Source organism: Homo sapiens, chromosome 11 (genome assembly GCF_000001405.40).
Source record: "Homo sapiens chromosome 11, GRCh38.p14 Primary Assembly".
NCBI lineage: Eukaryota > Metazoa > Chordata > Mammalia > Primates > Hominidae > Homo > Homo sapiens.
In genome coordinates this window covers 122,180,108-122,203,549 of record NC_000011.10, presented here as the reverse complement: position 1 = coordinate 122,203,549, position 23,442 = coordinate 122,180,108, and the positions used below count along the sequence as shown (strand labels likewise).

Here is a 23,442-nt window from a genome sequence, read left to right as displayed (position 1 = left end):
GGGACCGAAAGGCCAAGTGTCCACGGTGGCAAGAGAATCCAGGAGACTGGACCATCAAGTCTTTTACTCAGAGACTGGAGACCACGCCTTACCTCTCGGAACAGCCCTGTGTGAACCTCCGACTTTATGATACGTTGTGATTGTGATACAGGACTTCCCATGCAGCGCGTAAGCCATGCAGGCTTATTACTCACACCACACTCACCTGGACCCAGAGACCTCCAGGCACTGAGGACTGCGTCTCCCGGAAGTATTTCCCTGAGAAATTGCAGAGGACCTCAGTCCTGCAACTCACACAGAGGCTGTTCTTCGTGGCCGGAACCGGACCCCACGCCCTCTGGGGCACATCCCTGAGTGCGAGCACTCTTCTCTCGCCCTCCTCCCACCCAGGCACCGTCCCAACTGGGCACTGCCTTGCTATGCCCCACATCTCCCACAAGGGGGAGCCGCCGGAGGGCAGCTGGGGCTGCGGAATTTTGGAAGCGCAGAAGTTTTCTCCTCCTGTCCTGTAACTGGTTTTCACTCACTCAACTGAGAGATTTCTTTGTTGCAATGATGGGGTCTAAGATAACACTTCTGGAGGCTGCAGGCGAGAAACACAGCTGATATCATCTTTTATTGTGTGTTGTTATTTGCCTAGCATTATAAATTAAGGAGGAATAGTAACAAAGAGCTTGAAGACATGCACAGCTCACAGGCCCCGGGTGGAGGCTGGCGACATCAGACAGACAGAACCAAGACATCTGAGGGGCAACCAGGAGGTGCGTGTGGCTGCAGAGCACACAGGTAGGTACCCGCAAGAGGACAGTCGTGACGGGGGGAGGAGCGGATGGAGCATTCACAAAAGGTGGTCAGCAGAGATTAAAGGGGAAAGGCAGTGCAGAGGAGTTGGGAGATGGAGGGAGAGAAGAGGGAGGAGTCCCAAAGGAGCGCAAAAGAAAAAAATGTTTGCAGGGTGTGATACAAAAGGCTGACCACGGAGTGGGAGAGGGAGGGTTTGGAAAGTGAATCAGAGACATAAGAGGGTTTGAAGTTGGTTCCAACTCGGCCACCCCAGAAACTTCACAAGGCAGGAGAGGATGGGAGATTGACACAAAAGGCTCAGTTGCACAAGAAAATTCAAAGTGAGTAGGTGTGCCAGAAAGTCAATCTAATCATTCTGGTTGTGTGTCGTATAGCCACACCCACTCCGGACTTTAACCCAAACTAGAAGGAATTCTGGTCTGAGTGTGTTTTCAGGTCCTCTCTGCTCGGAACTCATGTTTCACACTTTCCCTTTCTTCCTTCGGCTCTTCCACAGTCGCTCTAGGTAATGGAATAGGAGTCAGAAATTCCGTGTTCTAGTCCAGGCTTTGCCACTTGCTGGTGAGATTAGCTTAAGAAAGGAAATATCTGAGTTTCCTTTTCCTTTGTCTATAAAAGGAAGATAATAATATATTACTTATGAGCCCTACAGGGTTTTTCTGAGGGTTGAATAAGTCAGATAGTGTGAATGAATGCTCTTAATAGATTACAATTGCTAGTTAAATAAAAGATGGCATTAATAATAATTAATCAGTTAATATATTCTTCCTATCCTCAACAGCGGGTTTGCCTACTGAGCTGTGGAGATATATATATATATATATATATATATATATATATATATATATATGAAGAATCAGATAATATATAACATATACGTTATATAGATATATTAGCCTTAACCTCCTATCTGTGAGAAAATTTAGAATTTATGACTCTATTTCCACAGCACATGTTAGAGTAACCTCTTTGGGAGATAAATAGGAATCTTTGTATACTTACCTTTTAGCCACCATCAAATGTTCTTTTCCCCGACCTCAGCTACAGTTTTGTATTTCTCAAACATGCAGATAATGATTGATGGTGTCTGCCTGGCTACCTGACTGATGAGTGATTTGTCTGTGTCCTGGACACTGCTGCCAGAGCAAATGTCACACCATGTCTCAGGCACATGATCAGACTAAATATGCTTGGAAGAAGCAAATAAGAGACTCTGTTAATCAGTTAATCATCCCATCACTATATTCACTGCCTGAAATGTGTTTGCTTTTTTTTTTGTTTGTTTGTTTGTTTTTGGTCTGGGTCATTTGTTACTTAGTTCCTTGAAATGTCTTGGATGAAAATTGGGTTCTGCACACTGGATCTGGCTGGTTGATTCTGCCTGCGAAGACTGAAGTTGGCTTTGATGCCTATAGATGCACTCACCCTTCGCTCGGGTTCCAGAGGCCATGTGGTGTATGGGGAAGGCAATGTAGATGGTGGGAAAATCACTTGACTTCTCTTGCTCATCTGTCAAATGAAACTGTTACCATCCTTCCTTCGTGCATCCAAATATAGATGTAAGGAGCACATGTGATTATACTGCACACACCAACAGTTCCTGACTATCCAAGTGCTGTATAATTATAAGGTTTTATAGTCATTATTCTGCTGCATGTTTCTTACTAGTGATTTACCCGTATTGCACAATTAAAATTATTTGAAAAGCTGTCTTTCCCCAGCTGTTAATATAGTCCCTTACTTTTTTTCATTTCCACCAATCAACTGATAAATCAAATATTTATAAAGATGCTAAATTTGTCATATACCTACTCACCATCAAAAAGTTAGTATCCTATGTAAGTCACATGAATGGATGCGCAATGTGTACATAGACTATTTGTATTTTTCTAAAAATACTAAATACATATATACATCCTTTTTTCGCCCATGTGCCTATTCCCCTTTTAATAAAAATATATGTAAATATGTATTTGAGCAAGAAACATAATACCTACATCCACACACACAGCATCTTCGCTTAGATAGCAGATTTAATGGGGGAGAGGAACAAACGCATCACTCTATCAGCATTGCAGCTATTTCAGAGTCCAGAAGTGACCACAATGCACAATTCATGTGGTTAAAAAAATGATGGATCAATTTCTGCCCTGTTCCTAGTAATGAATATCAATATCTTGCCTCTTCTAGACAGACTGTCAACAGCTTCAGATGTTTTTAAATGAGTTTTTAAAAATAAATTTGCGAAGTCAATTATTTTGAATCTCATCTGAAGCAATTAAAAAACATCCTGACATTTAAGGTGATATTTTTTCCCAAGTAAAATAATTATAAATAATACTAATTATGAGCAAATCATTCAGTTACTCTCAGTCTGGTTCAACCTTTAGGTTAATAAACCAATCCATTAAAATTCATCTTGCTCAAAGGACCAATTTGTTAAAAAATGTAGCGACCTTTCACCACAAGTATGATTGATATTTTCTTTAACAATAATCAGAGCTGTCTTTCCCAGAACAGAGTATGGTCAAGTGATAGGTATAGAAAACTAGGGTTCTTTTATACCTCTCTTGGTAATACTTCTCAGATAGGTACAGAATGATATTGATGATGATGAAGATGGTGGTGATAATGTACAAAATTAAAACTCTAATGTTAAAGAGAGTACCTTAAAAAGATATTTGAAAGCCTCAAGGCAACTGTTCACAAAACCCAACTATATTACTCTTCATGCCACAAACAGAGTTTAGATATTCCCCTCTGCCTCTAGTGTTTCGTTCTCACCAAAGGAGTAGGGCAGAGATTTGCAAATGTGTCCCATGGGCCAAATCTGGTCCACTACCTGTTATAAATAAAGTTTTGTTGGAACAAAGCCCATCCATTCATTTAGATATTGTCTTTGGCTGCTTTCCTAATACAGAGGCAGAATGGAGTTGTTACAACAGACACCACATGGTCCACGAATCTTAAAATGTTATTATCATTCTCTTACAAAAAGCGTCTGCCAACCCCTGTGTTAGGTAATGAAAAAAAAAAAACAATTCATCTTTGAATTTATAACAGTAGCTAATCTTTGAACAGCACTTTAGAGTTTACAAAGTCTGACCATGTTATGTTGTAATAGGTATTATTATCTTCACTTAACTGATGAAGAAATTGCCGACTTTTCTTCTTCTTTTAAATTATACTTTAAGTTCTAGGGTACAAGTGCACAACGTGCAGGTTTGTTACATATGTATACATGTGTCATGTTGGTGTGCTGCACCCATTAACTCGTCATTCACATTAGGTATTCCTCCTAATGCTATCTGTCCCCACTGCCCCCACCCCATGACAGGCCCCGGTGTGTGATGTTCCCCACCCTGTGTCCAAGTGTTCTCATTGTTCAATTCCCACCTATGAGTGAGAACATGCGGTGTTTGGTTTTCTATCCTTGTGATAGTTTGCTCAGAATGATGGTTTCCAGCTTCAACCATGTCACTACAAAGGACATGAACTCATCCTTTTTTGTGGCTGCATAGTAGTCCATGTTGTATATGTGCCACATTTTCTTAATCCAGTCTATCATTGTTGGACATTGGGTTGGTTCCAAGTCTTTGCTATTGTGAATAGTGCCACAATAAACATACGTGTGCATGTGTCTTTATAGTAGCATGATTTATAATCCTTTGGGTATATACCCAGTAATGGGATCACTGGGTCAAATGGTATTTCTAGTTCTAGATCCTTGAGGAATCGCCACATGGTCTTCCACAATGGTTGAACTAGTTTACAGTCCCACCAACAGTGTAAAAGCGTTCTTATTTCTCCACATCCTCTCCAGCACCTGTTGTTTCCTGACTTTTTAATGATCGCCATTCTAACTGGTGTGAGATGGTATCTCATTGCGGTTTTGATTTGCATTTCTCCGATGACCAGTTGCTGACTTTTCTATAGTCACTCAGCCATAAAGTGGTATAGGGAGGACTTGACCTCTAACGAAGGAAGAATGCTGCCCCAGTGGCGGCTTTCAAGAAGCAGGAAAGGAGATGGCTCTCAAACTGCAATAATGGCTGTCTGTCTCTTTTATCCACCTAGATATGACCATTGCCCAAAGACAGTAGAGAAAATAAAACTCTTGACATTCTTTTCTCTCATTATCTGAACTTGGCTGGGGTGATTTTAGCCTTGTCTGCTTCTATGTCCTTATTCTCATAACCAGAGTTATACTAATAAACAGAAAGGAAAGCAAAGTGGTTTGCAGTCAAAGCTAAACTTTACTGCATGAACTTTCACTTATCCATACTGAAAGGAATGCATCCACGCTGAAATTGGCACTGTGGCATGAATATTCCAAAACAGCAGATAACAGAAAAGTCTTTGTTTTTGGAATACACTATCTTTTTAAAAGTTTGCATTTTGAAACAGTAAATCCTCTCTTTGTTATGTTTCTTTTTTATTCAAGTTAATATCAAAATTATATTTTCCCCTCGAGCTTAGGACATCTATTAGCAAAGTGGGCCCCAAAGTGCTAGATATGAAGAGGAAGGAAGCCTGGAATGAAAACCTTGCCTTTGAGATTCATAGATATAAAACAACAGTTGTTTGCTGGGACCAAAGCTTTTCTTAATCTCATGTTTTCTTGGAAAGGGGTGAGGGATAAAATGAGATAAATAAGAATAAGAAATTTTTACATCGAACCTTTCCTGAAGATTCCAAGACAAAGATAAGGATTTAAACAATTGAACTAATTCAATTTTTTTATTCAACCAACTTTTATTTTGAGTGTCCATTGCGGCAGGCACTGGTAAGAGTTGGAGTATCACATTGACTAAGAAAATTGATTAGAGAAACAAACATGTGCCTATGTGTTATTAGAAATAAGCAATGGGATGGGAGTACAGATAAAATCTTAGGTATGCTCAATGGAGAAGTCATTCTTCCTTAGACAATCACGGAGGACATTATGGAGGAAGTGGCATTTTGTGAGACTTGAAGAATACACAAGTGTTGGGCATCTGAAAATGGGAGGGGTGGCATTCTAGGAGGGAACAAAAGCATAAGAGCAAAGAGCAGGATTTGGATGTGTTCCGAAAATTGTTCGGTGTTTGTGGAACGTATGGTTATATGGGAATAGAAGAAGATGAGGGAGGTAAAACAGGATGGAACCAGATTCTGGAGGGCCTTGGATTGTAAGTTAAGAAGTTTGGTCTTTATTCTGTAGATAGTGAGAGCCATTGATTCTTTGTGTGCAGGAGAATTACATGATCACACCTGTGACTGGGAGTAGAGTGTGACCGATATTGGAAAAGAACTTTGAGGCAGGTCACCAGAAAGACGCCAGGTGAAAAAGGTACCTCCTCCGCCTTGCGCTCTAATTTCAAGACTGCTTCTCTGTCACAACCCTGACTATTGTAGGTTATAGCACTGGCTGAGGACTTTCTGAGGGCATTTATTTAATGACATGCCAGTGGCATTTACTCATAAAACCAAAAAGCCATTGGGGCCAGAAATAGGGGTTTTGGTTACTTCCCCAGACAGGATGCAGTTTGGGTGATTATACATGTGATTCATCGAGGTCGGGAAGCAAATCCTCTACAAACAAACACCCCTCCCTCCAAGCCCAGTGACTCATGGCTTCATCAGTTTGATCCATGGAAAGCTCTTGAGTCCAGGCAAAATTTGAGGTATAAGGTTAGATCACAAATCTTTAGCATTTATCATGACAAGAGAAATATTTTTATTCATTCTTTCAGCCGTTCAAGCAATAAGCATTTATTGAACTTCTATTGTTTTAGGCACAAAGCATATGGCATTATAAAACATAGTTCCGGCCATAAAATATTCCCCAGCTTAATTGGGAAAACAGATATAAACAATTAAGAGAGTATCCTGTAAGTATTATTATAGAGAAATGCAAACAGTACTAAAGGATCAGAGGAGAGACACATAGCTGCTTTGGGAGGGGACAGGTGGCATTGGAATTGGGTCTTAAAGAATAACTATCCATCATTATTCATTCATTATTTCAACAAATAATTATCAAGCACTTACTATGCGCTAGGCACTGTTCTAGGCATGAGATTTTACGCTTTTGTGGAACTTAAATTCTAATGAGAGGACCCAGATATTAAGCATAGCTGGGAATCAACCAAAAACATATGTACCCTCGGGGTCTTTACACTCTTGTAAAGGTACGTTTCAGAGAGCAATAACTAACACCTGTTTCAAGCAGGAACAATATATGCAAAAAGAAGCATGAATCTAGCTTCCTGGGAGAGACTGGAGAAGAAACCTTAGGTTTGGGATGCCCAATATGAAAATAAGGCTTATTAATAGCCCTGAATTAAGATGGACAATTGCCCTGACACTCTTTGGCTATAGTGGATACACATAAGTTGGAGACCATTCTTACATGGAAATTCATAGCATTCAGTCCCCTGACATTCTGATTTTGTAGTATCTATCAGGCACATGGAGTCACTGACTAAGGGACTCTGGGTACAGTTGTTTGGTTTCACTAATAGATTCTTGGTACCTTCAATCTAACTGTTTTGCAATGGTTCAGTGCCATGAAGATGAAAACCTAAGACACTGGCCACCTCCTTGCTTAAGTAATATTCAGGTCAAATTCTGTAACAGCCAACTTCGGTTTGGAGGTCATACTTGATTCTTATTTTATCAGGTTGTCTAAAATAACCAGGCCATGAGGTGGTTATTGTTATGGTACTCATTGGAATGGGATTTGACCTATATAAGGCAAAGAACTAGGACAGAAATAGCTCTTCAGCCCATCACAGGGTTGGAGAAATCCAGTATAAGCAATCGTAGAATCACAGAGCTGGAAGGGCATCAAGGTGACTTAAGGCGATCCTGGCATCTGCCTCTAGGCCTGTCTGGAAATTTAATATAAATTCTAGAACTCATTATTTTAACAAATGCATACAAACATACTCATCTTGAATAGTATAGTTACTTTCAGGGCAGTGATGCTGCCTAGCCTCGGGCAAAACATCTTTGAACCTCCTGTTTTATAGCAGACCTAAGAATCTACAGCATATTCTTTCAATATACTTAGTGGAAGAAATTCATTGTCTTTTGAGGCTATTTTGTGTTTTCAAAAAAACCCAAGTGCCATATTCAATTGGTCCAGCTGCATGATACCATTTTTGATTAAAAATGAATTTAAGGCCGGGCGCGGTGGCTCACACCTGTAATCCCAGCACTTTGGGAGGCCAAGGCAGGCAGATCAGGAGTTCGAGACCAGCCTGGCCAATATGGTGAAACCCCATCTCTACTAAAGATACAAAAATTAGCTGGGCATGGTGGCACACGCCTGTAGTCCCAGCTACTTGGGCAGCTGAGGCAGGAGGATTGCTTGAACTCAGGAGGCAGAGGTTGCAGTGAGTCGAGATCATGCCACTGCACTCCAGCCTGGGCAACAGAGCAAGACTCCATCTAAAAAAAAATTTTAAAAAAGAATTTAAATGCACTTATAAAATCATAAGCTGACATTTTTGTTTGACTCATAACTGGTTCAAAGGGACTTACCAGCAAATGAAAAAATAATAAGTATATATTCTCCCAGATTGCTGATTTGAAGATATATGAAGCTCTGGTAAGTTGTACAGTTCCTCCCTCCACTTAGTGAACTTACTTGAGGTCAAGGAGCATGTCTTGTTTATCCCAGAATACCCGCCTACCACAGAGACAGATGTATGTGGGGGCTATTTGTTAAATGAATAAAAAACCATAATTTCATCACTTTATAGTCATTTCATGAATTCTTTGTTCATTTTGATTTTTTTTCATCAAATATGAATCCCATGATCACCTCTTACCTTAAGGCTAATTAGCCAGCAAAAAGCAAAGGAAGCAGTATTTGGTGGATGGAGCTCTGTTCTGGGAAGAAAAGTCAGGCACTAGGATAAAATCTGTTATGAGTAGAATGAGTGGCTTTGGAAAAGGTACTTAAGTCTGTGTCTCCATCTTTAAATGAAAGGATTGAACAGATATGGGAAAAGATCCATTTGAGGAACAAACTCTTGAGTAGCTACTTTGTGACTATCTCTATGTGCATGCTATAGGGGAGATTCGTTGTTGTTAATCTTATTTAGAGACAAGGTCTCACTCTGTCACCCAGGCTGGAGTACAGTGGTGCGATCATAGCTCACTGCAGCCTCAAACTCCTGGGCTCAAGTGATCCTCCCAGCTCAGCCTCCTGAGTAACTGGGACTACAGGTGTATGCCATCACACACAGCTAATTGTTTTATTTTGTGTAGAGATAGGGTCTCACTATGTTGCCTAGGCTGGTCTTGAACTCCTGGGCTCAAGTGATCCTCCTGCTTCGGCCTTCCAAAGTGCTGGGATTACAGGCGTGTGTCACCATGCCCAGCCCACAGGAGATATTATTAAGGTGGGGTTTTTTTGTTTGTTTTGTTTTTTTGACTGAGTCTTGCTCTGTTGCTGAGGCTGGAGTACAGTGGCATGATCTCAGCTCACTGCAACCTCTGCCATCTGGGTTTAAGTGATTCTTGTGCCTCAGGCTCCTGAGTAGCTGGGGCTACAGGTACACGCTGCTACACCCAGCTAATTTTTGTAGTTTTAGTAGAGACAGGGTTTCATCATGTTGGCCAGGCTGGTCTTGAACTCCTGACCTCAAGTGATCCATCTGCCTCAGCCTCTCAAAGTGCTGGGATTACAGGTGTGAGTCACTGCGCCCGGCCACTTTTAAGGTTTTACTTTTGGTCAGTACTCTTGTGTTTGCAAGTGAAAGAAACCCAGCTTAATTTAGTTAGGTAACAAACCAAACTCTGGAAAGGGCTGGGTACACCAGGCTCCAGAAATTACTAGAATCAGGGATCCAGGCACTTCCTCCCACTTTGCCCTAAGCTTCTCTCTCTGGGTCAGCTTTATTCTCTTAGACCTTCCTCCATGAGGCTGGAAAAATGTGCAAAACCTCTGGGAAGTCCTCTGAGCCAGGGAAACAAGAAACATGACTGGCAGCTGCTATAGAACCCTAAGGTTGGATGCAGTGAAGGTCAGCTCCCCCAGAGAAAGGGTTGTTACACAGCCAAGATAAAATAGAGCCTTGCTAAAGCCTGCCTTCTCTTCATGCTGCCTACTCCGACCCTACTTCTCTCAGCTCCACAAACACTGGTGACTTTCTACTCTCCTTTCAAGACTCTGTTCAACTTTGCTTTCTCTGAGGCCTGACTGGCAGGGCAGCACTGTCCCTTCTTGTGTATGCCCCCAAGGCACCTGAATCCATCTGTGTACTGGGGAAGTACACCTTGCTGTGTTGCTTGTCCTGTTCTCTTTACAGATTCTTCTTCCCATGAGCCTGAGAACTCCTCAAAGACATTAACTAACTGCCTTAATTGGTTTTATGTTACTTTATTTATTCAATTATTTATTTATCAGTTATTAATAGCCTACTATGTGGTAGGTTCTGAGGATTCAAAGAGAAGTAACATAAGATTCCTGTTCTCAAGGTGGTGAAGGTCATGTGGGAAATGCATGATAAATAGACACTGGCAGTGCAAGACAGTGGGATGAATCCATTACAGATGTCAGCTCTGGATGCTATAGGAGCATATAGGAGAGTCTCCTTCCTGGAGCAAGGATGACGGTTGAGAATGCCAGCAAGAGTTTCCAAGAAGGGAAAGGCACCACCCCTAGCCTGAGTCCTGTTGAATATGATTGAGCCTTGTTGTGTGGGGTCTGAAAGGAGAGAGCATTCTCTGCAGTAAGAACAGCACATGAGGAAGTCAGGGGATGCCCCAAAGAGCAACATAATAAAAGGCTTATGTTTGGGTGTGATAGATAAGACAGAGACACATGAAGTAGTTGGACAATAAGACAGTTTCCAATCAAGTACTAATTTTGCAGTACAATGAACTACGAGTATAGAACGGATCACCATGCACTTATTCTGGAAATCTCTCAGAAAATGTGGGTTCTGACTCACTCCTTGAGAAATGACAGTGCTAAATCTGAGATAAAAAAAAGTCTGGGTTTCAGTCTCACTCTGCCAATTACTAGCCTGGTGATATTTTCTCAATCTTTAATTTCTACATCATGAAATGAAGACACTAAGATTCAACTCTCAGAGTTGTATTGAAGATAAAATAAGACTTGTAAACTGTAAAGCACTACACAAACATTAGTTTGTTCATTAAAACTGTTTACCTGTAAAATAGAGAATTCTTCATTGATAAAGATATTTGGATGATATAAAAAGAAGCATAAGTATACTTACATGCAATGATACAATATTTACATTAAAAATATGTTAATTTTACATATTTATACATATACTTTTTATAAAAATCTTGGTTAATGCTATTGAAAAATGCAAATGTGTTAATGAGTTGACTGTGTCTTTTTACACATTTCTGACTCTTAGGATAGGGCAGAAAAACAGCCCTTCAGGGTAGGCCGTCTGATTCAGCGGTACGTGTGATGTGTTAGGAATTAAGTAGTTCAGGTGTGCTAATTTAGAAGTAAACTCTCTCCTAAGAAAACTGCATTCCTGTAGACAGAAGTTTTACTTGAGGATTTCTGTCTCAAAATAGAACTCTAAGTGGTGCAACTTTCTCTTCACTGTCTCCATTTCCTCCTCTTTAAATGACCATAAGCAATGGCAGCATTTTAAAGTCACACTCATACAAGTGGCCTTTAGAGAAGTTTGATTTCATTAGTCTTATACTCTGGTCAGATGTAGGCAAGGGCAAGGAACATCTAACAGATACAGAACGACCCACTAAAAGAATCTGAACTCTTTTGAGTGCTTTTCAAAGACTATGGGTGAAATACTAAAATGTAATTGACACAGTGTGTTCAGGCATGCAGTGTAAATGATCCTTCACTCCACGTGCTCCATCAGTTCTAGACAGCCCTTGGCCATCTTGTGGGAAGAAACCCCTGCTTTGTCTCCCTCGTTCCCACTGATACCAACACTGAGCTGATCATTATAGAGGAGAGTGACGCCAGTGCTTTTCCATGTGGCTGTGAACGTGGCCCTGAAAAGCATCAAAAGAAACATTAGAGATTTGTCACTCACTCTTGCTTAATGATGAATTCAAGGAAGCTGAAAGTGGAGGCCCATCACTCCCAGCTATGGGCTTGAAGTTATGGCCAGTTGGTAGTCCTCTTTCTCCATCCATTACTGCATCCACCTGGACCTAACTGTTCTAAGAGCTACCTTTCTAAAACTTATGTAAGGAAAGAGAGCATGACTCTTTTCTTGGAATATGAAGTCTATGAGATATCAATACAAATTCTACAAAATAAGGAGGTATTCTAAGGTCAAACAAGTTTAAGAAATCCTGAATATGTCCCCACTGGACATTCAAAATGTACATCAGCATAGTTAAGGCTGTAAAATAAAAATAATACAATAAAGTAAAACATTTGCTTTCCCAGTGATTTGACTTTAGAACTGTTTTATTTAGTAATACTCATTAACACCTTGAATACTTCTTGCTTCTAGTTTATAAGAAGATAATGTTCTTACAGAAGTCTCAGTAAATAGTCCTCTTGAAGGCTGAAGTCCATGCTTTAGACTGAAAAAAAGTTGAACGTAGCTTGGATAAATCTTATAACTGAGGAATACATGCTTACCATCCAAAGGTTCTTTTTAATAGCCAATTATTTATTAAATTGGGGGTTTGCCGGGGAGGTGGGAGGTGAAATAAGCAATCAGCATTCGAGCCCATTCCTTATTCAGAAAAAATTTTTTTCTCTTCTATTACTGGCTAGATCTCATGGAAAATCCCTTGAAAATGCTGAAATGAACTTTTCCTCTCCCTCTCTTCTGGCTGTTTGCCTTTTTTTCATAAAGAATGAGTGTAGATTTGATCTGTAACTATTATAGTTTATATTTGATGGGACCCTATGGAAAACTACTAGCCAAGAGAAAGAGTAATCACTAGTAGTTTTAACTGTAATCACAGAGAAATCCTTCCCTGTCCTTCAACCTTTCCATGGCTCTGTAATTGTGAGCCGTATCTTTCATAGGACGTTTCCCATAGGTGCTAAGATCATATTTTCTCTCCATATAGGTTCTCCAAAGTATCTTTTTTTTTCTACCCACAAAAATAGACAGGGAGTCAGGCAATGGGATCAACTCTATTCATCATACATATCATTTTATACCTCTCCAAGGAAGCTTTTCTTGATCAATTTTCTTCTCTAATCACTGCTTCTCCCAGCATTTCTTCTGAATCTATTTAATGCGTAGGATATTATTTTACCTATGGTGTCACAATACTTTGCAACTGATCTTAGTTTATTCATCTGTGTGTTTTCTCTGTCAACTAGAATTTAAAGTTCATTGGAGGCAGGTACAATATATTTAATTTTTTCATACTATCTTCAAAGTCTTACATGCAGTAAGACTTGTACAGAGTTTTATACATAGTGGGCATTTGCTTATTTGAATTAAAAATAATCTACGTGGAATGAATGTCAGGACATCTACTCATCTCCTAGGTTTTCTATCGATATGACTGGAACGTGAACATTGGAGTCCTCCTGACCTGAGCTCAAATCCTAGGCCAAAAACATCAGTAATCTTTGTGCTCTTAATCAAGCTACTCTTCTTCTCTGAGTTTCCATTTTCTCATATCCACAATGGAGATCTTGTATCTACCTTTTCCTAAAAGACTGTATGAGGAATAGTTAGAAGTTTAAGTTCTGATGTCAGACAGTTCTGATTTGAAAGCCCTCTCTGCTACTTGCTACCTCATATTGAAAAAATTGGTTAACCTCTGATGAGCCTCATTTTCCTCATCTGTGAGTTAGGATCCATAATAGGATTTATGTCATGAACTTGTTTGGATTAAATGAAATAATGCAAGGAAAACTTAGAATGGTACCTGATACCTAGCAAGCATTCAATTAATGTTAACTGCTGCTGTTGAAGAGTACCTAGAATACCTGATGCTGGTGGGCTCAAATAAACCATAGTTCTTTCTCCTACTAATTCCCATCTTTAAATCCATTGCCATGGCAGATGCACTTTGCAAATCTGTTGGCTAAATGCGTAACTTTCATTGCAGGAATGGCATTCTGCCTGTTTTGCCTATCTTAAATGGCACAAAATTCTTCTGAAGGAAAAGACTTTCTCAGGAAGATAATCCATATCTGGATTGAAAAGAGCTTATGTTTTTAAAGTGTGGGTTGGAGACATTTTTTAATTGAACGCAGCCATTTTTTATCATGTTGATTTCCTCAGGATATGAATCAGAGAGAAAGAACTGAAGTCTTGTCTCAGGAAGAAAGAGGGCAGGCAGAGGATTTTTCACTGGTAAGGCAACTTGCACACTTGTCCTTTTCATAGTGAGTCATGATCTATGATACATTTCATAGCAATGTCTATGAGTTTCCAATTCTGGAATTAGACATGCCAGCCAAATAAGGGAGGGAGAAGAGAATAGACTTTTAATCCACCTCATTGCCATTCAGAGTTCTAGAAGCGGAGCTTCAAGAAAAGGAGTATTCTAGCACCCACTTTTAGTCTTATCTTTAAACACATTGAGAAAGAGAATTAGCTAATTACTTTCCAAATGCTTCCAGCAGAGCAATTCCACGGGGTTTTTTTTCCCCCAATAACTAGCTCTAGTGTTCCAGAAAAATCAGTCTCCCTAATCTCTTTCCAAATCTTTTTTTTTTTTTTTCCTCTATGACTTGAGGCTAACTTTTCTTTTTCTTTGTTTTCATACTGGCTGACCTAAGCTCTTCTTAAAATGACGCCATGAATTTTTTAAAGTTATTAGGCCTACCTTCCCTAGTTTTTTTTTTTCTAATGAAGGAAACTTAACTCTCTTTAAAAGCTCTCTTATATCCAATTTTTTTACACTTCAAGTCACTTTGGACTGATGTTCTAAGGATGTTTCCCAGCTATTCTAGTAATGAATAAAAAACACCAATGGTTTGTTACCATTGGTCCTTCACATCCATGGATTTCACATCTGGGGATTCAATTAACTCTGGATCAAAAACATTTGGAAAAAAAAAGGATTGTTGTGTCTGTACTGCACACCTACAGATTATTTTCTTGTAATTCCCTAAACAATAAAATATAACAATTATTCACATAGTATTTACATTTTATTAGATATCATATGTAATCTAGAGATGATTTAAAGTATACAGGAGGATGTGCATAGGTTACATGCAAATACTAGACATTTTATATAAAGGACTTGAGCATCTGCAGATTTTGGTATTGGCAGGGGATCCTGGAACCAATTCTTCATGGATGCCACGTGATGACAGTATATGCACTTGGGTATCCCCAGGACTTGGTGCTACTCAGAGTATATTATAGGTGCTTAAAATGGTGACTGAATAAATATGACCTTATATTTCTATAGCTTTTAATGCTTTATGGAAAACTTCAATTTCCTTAAAAAGTCCTGTCTGCAGTTGTCTTATTTTCACCTTTTCCACCACCCAAAATAACCTTACCTTTGGTTATAAAGTCAGTAAGTTTTACAGTGGAGACCAGAACTTGGTCTCCAGTTCCCAGCCACACAAGTTTATTGCCTTAACCTGAACATTTGCTAAAGTGGTGGTGCTAGTGTTTTGAAAAATGTAGACCTCCCAAACTCAACCTTGTACTCATATAATGAAGAGAATAACAAGAGTGCAGACCAGTTCTACTATGTCTTTGTTTTGGGAATATATCTGAACATCATGTTATTTTTAAATTGTAAAATGTGACTTGTTCATACTTAGCTTTTATTCTTCTCTGAGCTTGAGCTCCAATTCTCACTGCCTTTTCTACAAGCTCATCATTTTTTCACATGGTATCTCTACATTGTGTTATGGTATGAAATATTAATAGCCCACAATAGGGCACTTTTAATCTCTTCAACACCAAGATATAGGACATCTTGGTGCCTTGATTAAATAGTGCGTGGTCAGTGTGAGGACCTTGATTCTCCTCCTGGTGAAATTCTTTCTGTCACAAGATTTCTTCAATGTAAAAATCAACAATCATTACTATTCCTTTCATTACTTCACTGGAGTTCGAAGTCAGCCAAAGAAAGATATTAAATAATCAGGGAGACAGGGTCTCTTGCATTGAACTCCTTAAAGGCAGGGACTATGTCAGAAATTTATGCCGAGCGCCGTGACTCACGCCTGTAATCCCAGCACTTTGAGAAGCCAAGGTGGGTGGATTGCTTGAGGTCAGGAGTTCAAGACCAGCCCAACCAACATGGTGAAACCCTGTTTCTACTAAAAAAAAAAAAAAAAAGCCCAGCATGGTGGTGCATGCCTGTAATCCCAGCTACTTAGGAGGCTGAGGCGGGGGAATCGCTTGAACCTGGGAGGCGGAGTTGCAGTGAGCTGAGATTGCACCACTGCCTTCCAGCCTGGGTGACAGAGCAAGACTCTGTCTCAAAAAAAAAAAAAAAGAAAAAAGAAAAGAAAAGAAACTTATGTAGCCCCATCCCCTAATCCAGGGTCTGGCACAGAGCAGGTACTTAATACATTATTAATTACAATTGAATTGACATCTATAAGAAAATTCAAGAAATCTGAGCCTTGTGACTTTGTCCATAATGATGTGGCCTTAGCTAAGACTCTGAGCTTCTGTTTTGTCATCGGTTAAATGGGATCTCTGTCTACCTTTAATGGGAATGTGAGAGTCCTAGGAAATTTGACCTTAAGGAATATTTGTTTTAGACTTCATAGACTAGATGGAGTTCTAGTTTTTAAGTGAATAATTTACAGACTAACGGGCTTTACATGAATAATCAAAGCAAAGGGGCTCTTGGTGACCTACTTGTGAATTAATATTTTTAATTAGTAAGTCATTTTTGACAAATTCACACAACCCTCGATATCTGTTTGTTTGATTTCCTTTAATTCACTTTCCATTATGGTCAACTTTACTATTGAAATGAAATCATCAACTTGAAGATATGTTGAGAAATGGTGTTACAGTCTGGGTTCATAAATCTTAACAGGAAGAACCTGGAGCCAAGCAGCTCAGAGCATTATGAAATCAGTTAATTCAGGCTTCTGGAATATGTGAGCAGTCTACCACTTTCTCATTAATCTGAGGCAGAATGCCCAGAAAGAGTATTTCGCAAAGGTTAGTGCAAAAGAGAAGTCTGTTGAGTCATTGTTGGGTGTTGGATAACAGAGCAAATTTATTGCATTAATCAGTGGAGGAAGTCTGTATTCTAAGATTGCCTTGCTAAGAAAGTCATTGTAAACTTGTAAATGAACAATTCTGCTTCCTCAATGGCTCTCAAACCTGAATGGGCATCAGAGTCATCTGGAGGACTTGTTAAATCACAGATGGCTGGGTACTACCCTTAAAATTTCTTCTGATTTTGTAAATTCTAATTTGGGGGTGGGGTGGATCCCAAGAACTTGCAATTATCACAAGTTTCTAGGTGGTGCTAATGCCACAGGACGGGGACTATACCTTGAGAACACTGTGCTACTTGATTTTCCTTAAGATTGCCAAGCCTGGTGAAAATAAACATTCCGTGGGACTGCTGCTCTTTTCTGAGACTGATTTAATGAAATAGGACGTAGATAAGCCATCAATAGCACAAGCCACAGGCAGACATCTATGGGTCAGAGTGTCTGTATAGAACTACAATGAACCCTAGATATAGAGAAACAGATTTTTTTTTTAGGTTAAGTTTTAAGCTCAGCTCCTTCATGACTTTGTAGGACATATTATTGTGGTCTGTTCCAAGCTCCTTCTGGAGTCATCTGAAAATATATTGCCAGAATCTTTTAAAAAAAGGGAGAGGAGATATGTTTTCATTTTCTTTCAGGTGGTCATTCCAGGTTGTCATCTCTTTTCCAACAAACAGGCCGTGTATTCAGGTATTCTACCCTCTTGCTTTGTGATTTAATCAGTCAGTAGACAGTAATTCTCTATCAAGTTCTTTTAAGTCAAGTTCTTATTTCATATAGGTACAATGTTATCAATTCTGGTTCTTTTCCTGGAAGCTCATTTTATTCAATTCAGTTCAACACCCATTGTGTGACTTCCTATGCTAAGCACTATTCTAGGGACTTAAAAAAAGACATGACCAAGACAGACACCAATCCCTACCCTTGCAGAATCTACATTCTAGCACAGGGAGACAGACAGTAAACAGTACATCAGCCAATATATTATATTCTTCATAGTAAATGCTATGGAAAAGATGAAAATAAAGCAGAGTGATTAGGTTTAAGACTGGGGTGGGGCACTGGCAGAGGAGGACCATGTGCACAGTTGCAATTTTAAATAGGAGTGTCAATTGAGCAAATATCTGAGGCAGGTGAGACTGTAAGTATATATCCAGGGAAGAGTATCACTGGCAGAGAGAACAGCCTGTGCAAAGGCCCAGTGGCAGGAGACTGCCTGGCGCATTTAATGAACAGCAAAGAAGCCAGCATGGCTGATTCAAAGAGATGGAAGGGAATGCATTATAGGTCAGAGAGATAACAGAGAGGCAAGGGTGAGGCCCCATGAGGCTTTGCAGGTTACTGATAGAAGACTTTGGCATTAATCTGAGTGAAATGGGTGTTACTTCAAGGTGCTGAGGAAGAGTTGACTTTTTAACAAGGGTCTTTCAGGATATTATGTAGAGACTAGATGAGCAGGGCAAGGATAGAAGCAAACAGACTAATTAGGGGGCCGTGCCAGTAACCCAAGAAAAAGATGATGTGGCTCAGGCCATAGGTTGGTCAGTAGAGGTTATGAGAAGTAGTCTGCATATGGATATATATTGAAATCAAAATTCAATAGGATTTTGAGATAGATTGGATATGGAGTGTGAGTTGAAAAGAAAGCAAAGTTTTGGCTTGAGCAACTAGAAATATAGCTATGGGTTGAGATATGGATTGAGATGCTATTGACTGAGATGGCTATAGGAAGAGCCAGTTTGTGAGGAATATTGGGTTTTAGGTTTTGGACATACTGGTATTGAAATGACTATTAGACACCAAATTATAGATGTCAAGTTGGTTGTTGATCATGCATATTTGGAGCTAACCAGAATGTCAACTTCCCCCAGCCAAAGATGGAGACCTAGGAGTCACCAACATGTTGGGATTACAAACTGTGAGGCTGAGTGATATTATCAAGTGAGTGTGTATAAATAAAGTAGAGAAGACTGGGACTCAGCTCTGGGGGTCCTCAGAATTATAAGTGGAGACTGAGGTGTGACTATCAAGGCAGAAGAAAAACTAGGAGGTTGTGGTGTCCTAAAAACCAAGAGAATGAAGTGCATCAAGTAGAGGGGAGTCAAAAGTAGTGACAAATATTGCTGATAGATCCAGTATGATGAATACTGAAAGTCACTCATTGAATTTTCCAACTGAGCAACACTGGTGACCTGAACAAGAACATAATTTGGTAGAGTTGTGACAGTTAAAGCCTGGTTTAAGTAGCTTAATGGGGAATGGTAGGAGAGGAACTTGAAACAGTGAGGAAATCCAACTCTTGAGGTTCCTGCAAAGGGAAGTAAAGAAATTGGATGAAAACACCTGGGGAAAGTGAGGTCAACCTAAGGGGTTTGTTATTGCTGCTGTTTTTGATTAGGAGAAATTACAATATGGTTATGTGCTGATGGAAATGGTCCAGTAGAGAGAGAGAGATTCATGTTTTAGGAAAGATAGCAAGAATTCCTTAAGCAATTTTGTTGAGTCAGAAAACAGTGATAGTATCTAATGTCCAAGTGGAAGATTTGGCTTCAAAGAGAATATAGATTATTTCCATCCATAGTAACAGGCATATTTAGGGTAGTAATGCTGCTTGGGGATGAAGTAGATATAGCAGTAAGGCCCTCTGTAAAATTCCTTTTTATCACCTAGTTTCTCCATGAAGTAGGAAACATTATCTCACACAATCTCAAAAATTGTTCAAAAGAAAATGAAGCCCAGGTATATGCCTCTATAAGTATTTATTCAAAAAATAAAACACAGCCAAACATAATACAAAAAGTATGCCATAAATGTTCTATTTTAGGAGTTTTTCTGCATGAAGCAATTGAGATTTTAGAATAGGGATCTAATATCTTTTCAACTAGGGACACTTCTTTTCCTGGTGAATGTCTCTGTATTAAGCACAGGCATTCTTCATTGCTTCATTAACCTTCAGATTTATTCAAAAATAGGGATATTTATATATAAATTTTTCTATTTGCCAATTAAATGTGCATAAATGTAACTTTTTTAGATGTTGTATGTGGGTGGAGTAATTTCTATGAAAAATCTTTAGCCATCTCTTTCTCTTCATTTCAACAAGATGATTGGCCCCCATCATCTTATCAGTGTTGTCAATTTGGTACTTTGTAGATATTGGCTGCAAATCTTAAACAGATATAAACAGGAGCTTCCACTATTCTTATTTATAATAAGTACATAAACTTAAATCAGAGATAGGAAGCACCTATATGATTTTTTAAAAAGACATAGTGGACCCTTTAATCTAAATTCTGTTTCTTCTCTGGTATAAAAAAAAGTCACTTTTTGGAGGTTAAAAACTATATTTTAGTGCTTTGCTTGAACAAAATTTACAAAACACAACTCAGTAAGCTATTTCATAAATGTTTTGCAATTGTAATGATCTTAGTTTGGGCTGCTATAACAAAATAGTATAAACTGGGTGGCTTATAAACAACAGGAACTTATTTCTGACATTTCTGGAGTCTGTAGGTTCAATATCAGAGTACCCGCCTGGTTGTGCAGGTTCCTCTCCTGAGTTATACACTGCCAACTTTTTGTTGTATCCTCACATGGTGGAAAGAGAACTCTCTGCAGTCCCTTTTATAAGGACACTAATGCCATTCATGAGGGCTCCACCCTCATAACCTAATTTTTCCCCAAAAGCCCCACCTCCTAATACCGTCACATTGGGGGTTAGGATTTCAAGATATAAATATTGGAGGGGCACTTATATTCAGTCCATTGTAATAATAAAACGTATAAGATAGATGTTTTAAAAATACTTTTTAAGATTCTTTCATATTAGTGATCAAGTGAATTTGAAGCAAAAGGGGAATAACCATAGTATTGAGCTCATAGGGTTGTAGGGGAAATGAAGTGATATTGTCCATGTAAAGTAACTTAGGGCAATGCATGGCCCATGGTAAGTGACTAATACATTACTGTAGTAGGTATAAGATGGTGATGGGATTCCTTAAGAAAAATTCCATAAAATTGACAAAATTAGGGCGCTGTTCTTAGTTAGCTGCTGTGTGTGTGTGTGGTTTGTATGTGTGTGTTGTGGGTGGGGGGTGACAGAAGATTACTATAGCCAGCATCAGTTTATCAAGCATGAATTTAAAGAATGAATTGAAAGAAACAATTCGTCCAGCTTTTATGTGCCAGGTACTGTAGTAAGCATGTTAGATACACATTGTATTTAGTCCTTATGATAGCCCTGCAGAGTAAGTTGTATTAACCCAATTGTATGAATGAGGAAATTGAGTTGGGAGGAAATGATTAAATGCTACAATGGGAGAGCTGTCTGCAATTTGTTAAGTAAATTAAAAGACTGACCTTATCTACTAAGCTGTCCATAAAAGAGCAAAATCCTTACCAAGGTCACCATGGGATTTGATTCCTAAGTCCTCAGTCTTCACTATTCTAAGTTATTGACTTGCTCATCTAAATCCAACCTAAATTCAAATGCATGTTGCTGGTTTGATCAGAATCAAGAAATTTGCTTACTCTGCAATTAGTCATCGGATTTGCCTCTGAACATGTATGTAGAGATGGTTCACTCTTTTGTACTGGTAAAGGCTGAAGACAAAAAGAAAATCTCACCTTTTGTCCCTTGAAAGAAAAAGCTTTTCCCATTCCAGAAGACCATGGTATAGTTTCCTTAAAAACTAGCTGTGTTTCAAACTCAAATGACTCTTGCTGTGGTTGATGAAAAGCACAATATTCCTTCTCTCTTCCTGTAGGAATGCAGAAATAGGAAAACAGAAAGAAAAAAAAGAAAAGAAAAAAGAAAGAGAAAGAAAGAAAGAAAAGAAAGAAAGAAGGAAAGAAGGAGGGAGGGAGGAAGGAAGGAAGGAAGGATCTAATTTATTTTTTTCTATTCAGAACAGAAAAAATCAATTAGAACAATAACTTTTTTTTTCTCCCAAGGGGAAAACCAAGTTGTAGCAACTCTTTGGAGACTTGGAAGGATGTCATACCCCATTCATTTATGGCAATCAGTTGTTGAACACTTAGCAACTTCATTTATAAATGAAGGAGAACAGTTTGGCTGGCAGAACAACTTACAAATATTATATTTTGTACCTGAGTTTATTCTAGAACAAAATATATATCAATACAAGCATTTAGAACACTTATTATGGAAATGTCAAACCTCCAGTTTTTAACCCTTTGAGTGTTTTTTTAAAGACGTGAACATGTAAACTCTTCACTGAGTCTATAGCTGACCCCATGAAAACAGGAAAACATGATGCCAGAGCCTCAAAATGTTTCTTTCTTTCTGTAACTTGGATGGAGAGGTGGAGAATTCTCATTCTGGAAGGGAGAGGAGAACTGCCTGGTTTCCATTCTGAGCTTAGTATAAGAATAACTCTGTGCAAATATATGAAGGATTTATATTTTTCAATAATGAAAAAACAATTTGCCCACCCGCAACCACCAAGGCCAGTTTAGAACAGGAGAGATTTAGGGTAGTTTTAGCATGGGGCTTAATGGCTAGAAAGAGTAACTAAAGATATAAATTAGTTACTAGGAGGAATTGTGATCTTCTTTTTCCCAGAGAATTTTAAAAATCTGCTCAGCATCCATTTTGGATAACCTAGTTGCTCTTCCATCTAGAAACAGGCACCTGCACTCATGATTCTCGTGGGCCCAGATGTGGCAGAAGTTCTTTTCCCCTCTCCATCTCAGGACTTATTTATACAGTGTATGTATTTTATAATTTATGCTACAAGTGAATCACAATTTGTCATCGTTCAATGGCCAGCTCACTTGCTTCTTTTGGCTAATTGTAGAGGAACTGAACTCCCTGGAGAGAGGGAGAGAAACAGGCAAGAGGGCAGAGACCCAATGGTGCTGCCTCCAAGGAGCCAGTGACTCAGCCCTGAGTTCCCCCACCCCCAACCAACTTCATGAAACCACAGCCCCCCTAATGCACAGTTTAACATTTTCTTTAGTGGTGCAACCTTGTTCTGAGATTACAGGGAATGCTGAGTTTTATTAGGGTTCTTTCAACAAACTCATTTAATTGTTGCTGCCCCTTAGCTAGTGCTGAGTCACTCTCAAACTTCACAGCATTCCACGACAGCTCATCCTTCTTGACTTTCCTTTTTTTTTCCCTTTTCCTTTTTCCTTTTTTAAGTTCTCTTAATATTTTTTATTCCCAACAGACTTGTCTTTGGACAAAATTGAGAAGAACTCATAAACTTGGCTTCCTCGCTTCTGCTCCTCAGGTAAGTTTAATTCCTATTTCTATTATGCAACGTCATTGAAGAATATTTTCCCAGGTTTCTGTTGAAGAACTGCCTTTTTTTATCTTTTCGATGCTGGCACTCTTTTAGAATTAACCATGGAAAAACTTGATGACACTTCCATCCTTCTTGTAAAATTCATCTTTGGAGTAATTTTACAGTGTGCGTTTTCCCCTTGGACATTTTAAAGAGCTGGATTTCCGCCTCTTT

General features: G+C 39.1%; 1 long non-coding RNA gene across 10 annotated transcripts in view, besides 3 other annotated features; it reads left to right on the top strand.

Moving 5' to 3' along the window:
• Positions 1-23,442, top strand: part of MIR100HG (mir-100-let-7a-2-mir-125b-1 cluster host gene) — a 394,543-nt gene that overhangs the window by 219,322 nt on the left and 151,779 nt on the right. For 4 of the 10 annotated variants that reach the window (NR_137179.1, NR_137192.1, NR_137193.1 and 1 more), the window contains exon 3: positions 23,152-23,214. This is a non-coding gene — a long non-coding RNA (mir-100-let-7a-2-mir-125b-1 cluster host gene). Of the gene's footprint in view, positions 1-440; positions 787-22,917; positions 23,215-23,442 lie in introns of those variants that run through there. The other 6 variants (NR_137181.1, NR_137182.1, NR_024430.2 and 3 more) reach the window with 2 other exon arrangements.
• Positions 161-370: an enhancer, noted in NCBI's record as "active region_5665". NCBI's record gives its function as "activates an Ori minimal core promoter by ATAC-STARR-seq in GM12878 lymphoblastoid cells {active_cell/tissue: GM12878}" and the evidence as "EXISTENCE:reporter gene assay evidence [ECO:0000049][PMID:35858748]".
• Positions 5,573-6,772: an enhancer, noted in NCBI's record as "P300/CBP strongly-dependent group 1 enhancer chr11:122067486-122068685 (GRCh37/hg19 assembly coordinates)". NCBI's record gives its function as "activates an origin of replication core promoter dependent on BRD2, BRD4, P300/CBP, MED14 and CDK7 cofactors, with strong dependence on P300/CBP, by STARR-seq in HCT116 cells {active_cell/tissue: HCT116}" and the evidence as "EXISTENCE:reporter gene assay evidence [ECO:0000049][PMID:35650434]".
• Positions 22,224-23,423: an enhancer, noted in NCBI's record as "MED14-independent group 3 enhancer chr11:122050835-122052034 (GRCh37/hg19 assembly coordinates)". NCBI's record gives its function as "activates an origin of replication core promoter dependent on BRD2, BRD4, P300/CBP and CDK7 cofactors, and independent of MED14, by STARR-seq in HCT116 cells {active_cell/tissue: HCT116}" and the evidence as "EXISTENCE:reporter gene assay evidence [ECO:0000049][PMID:35650434]".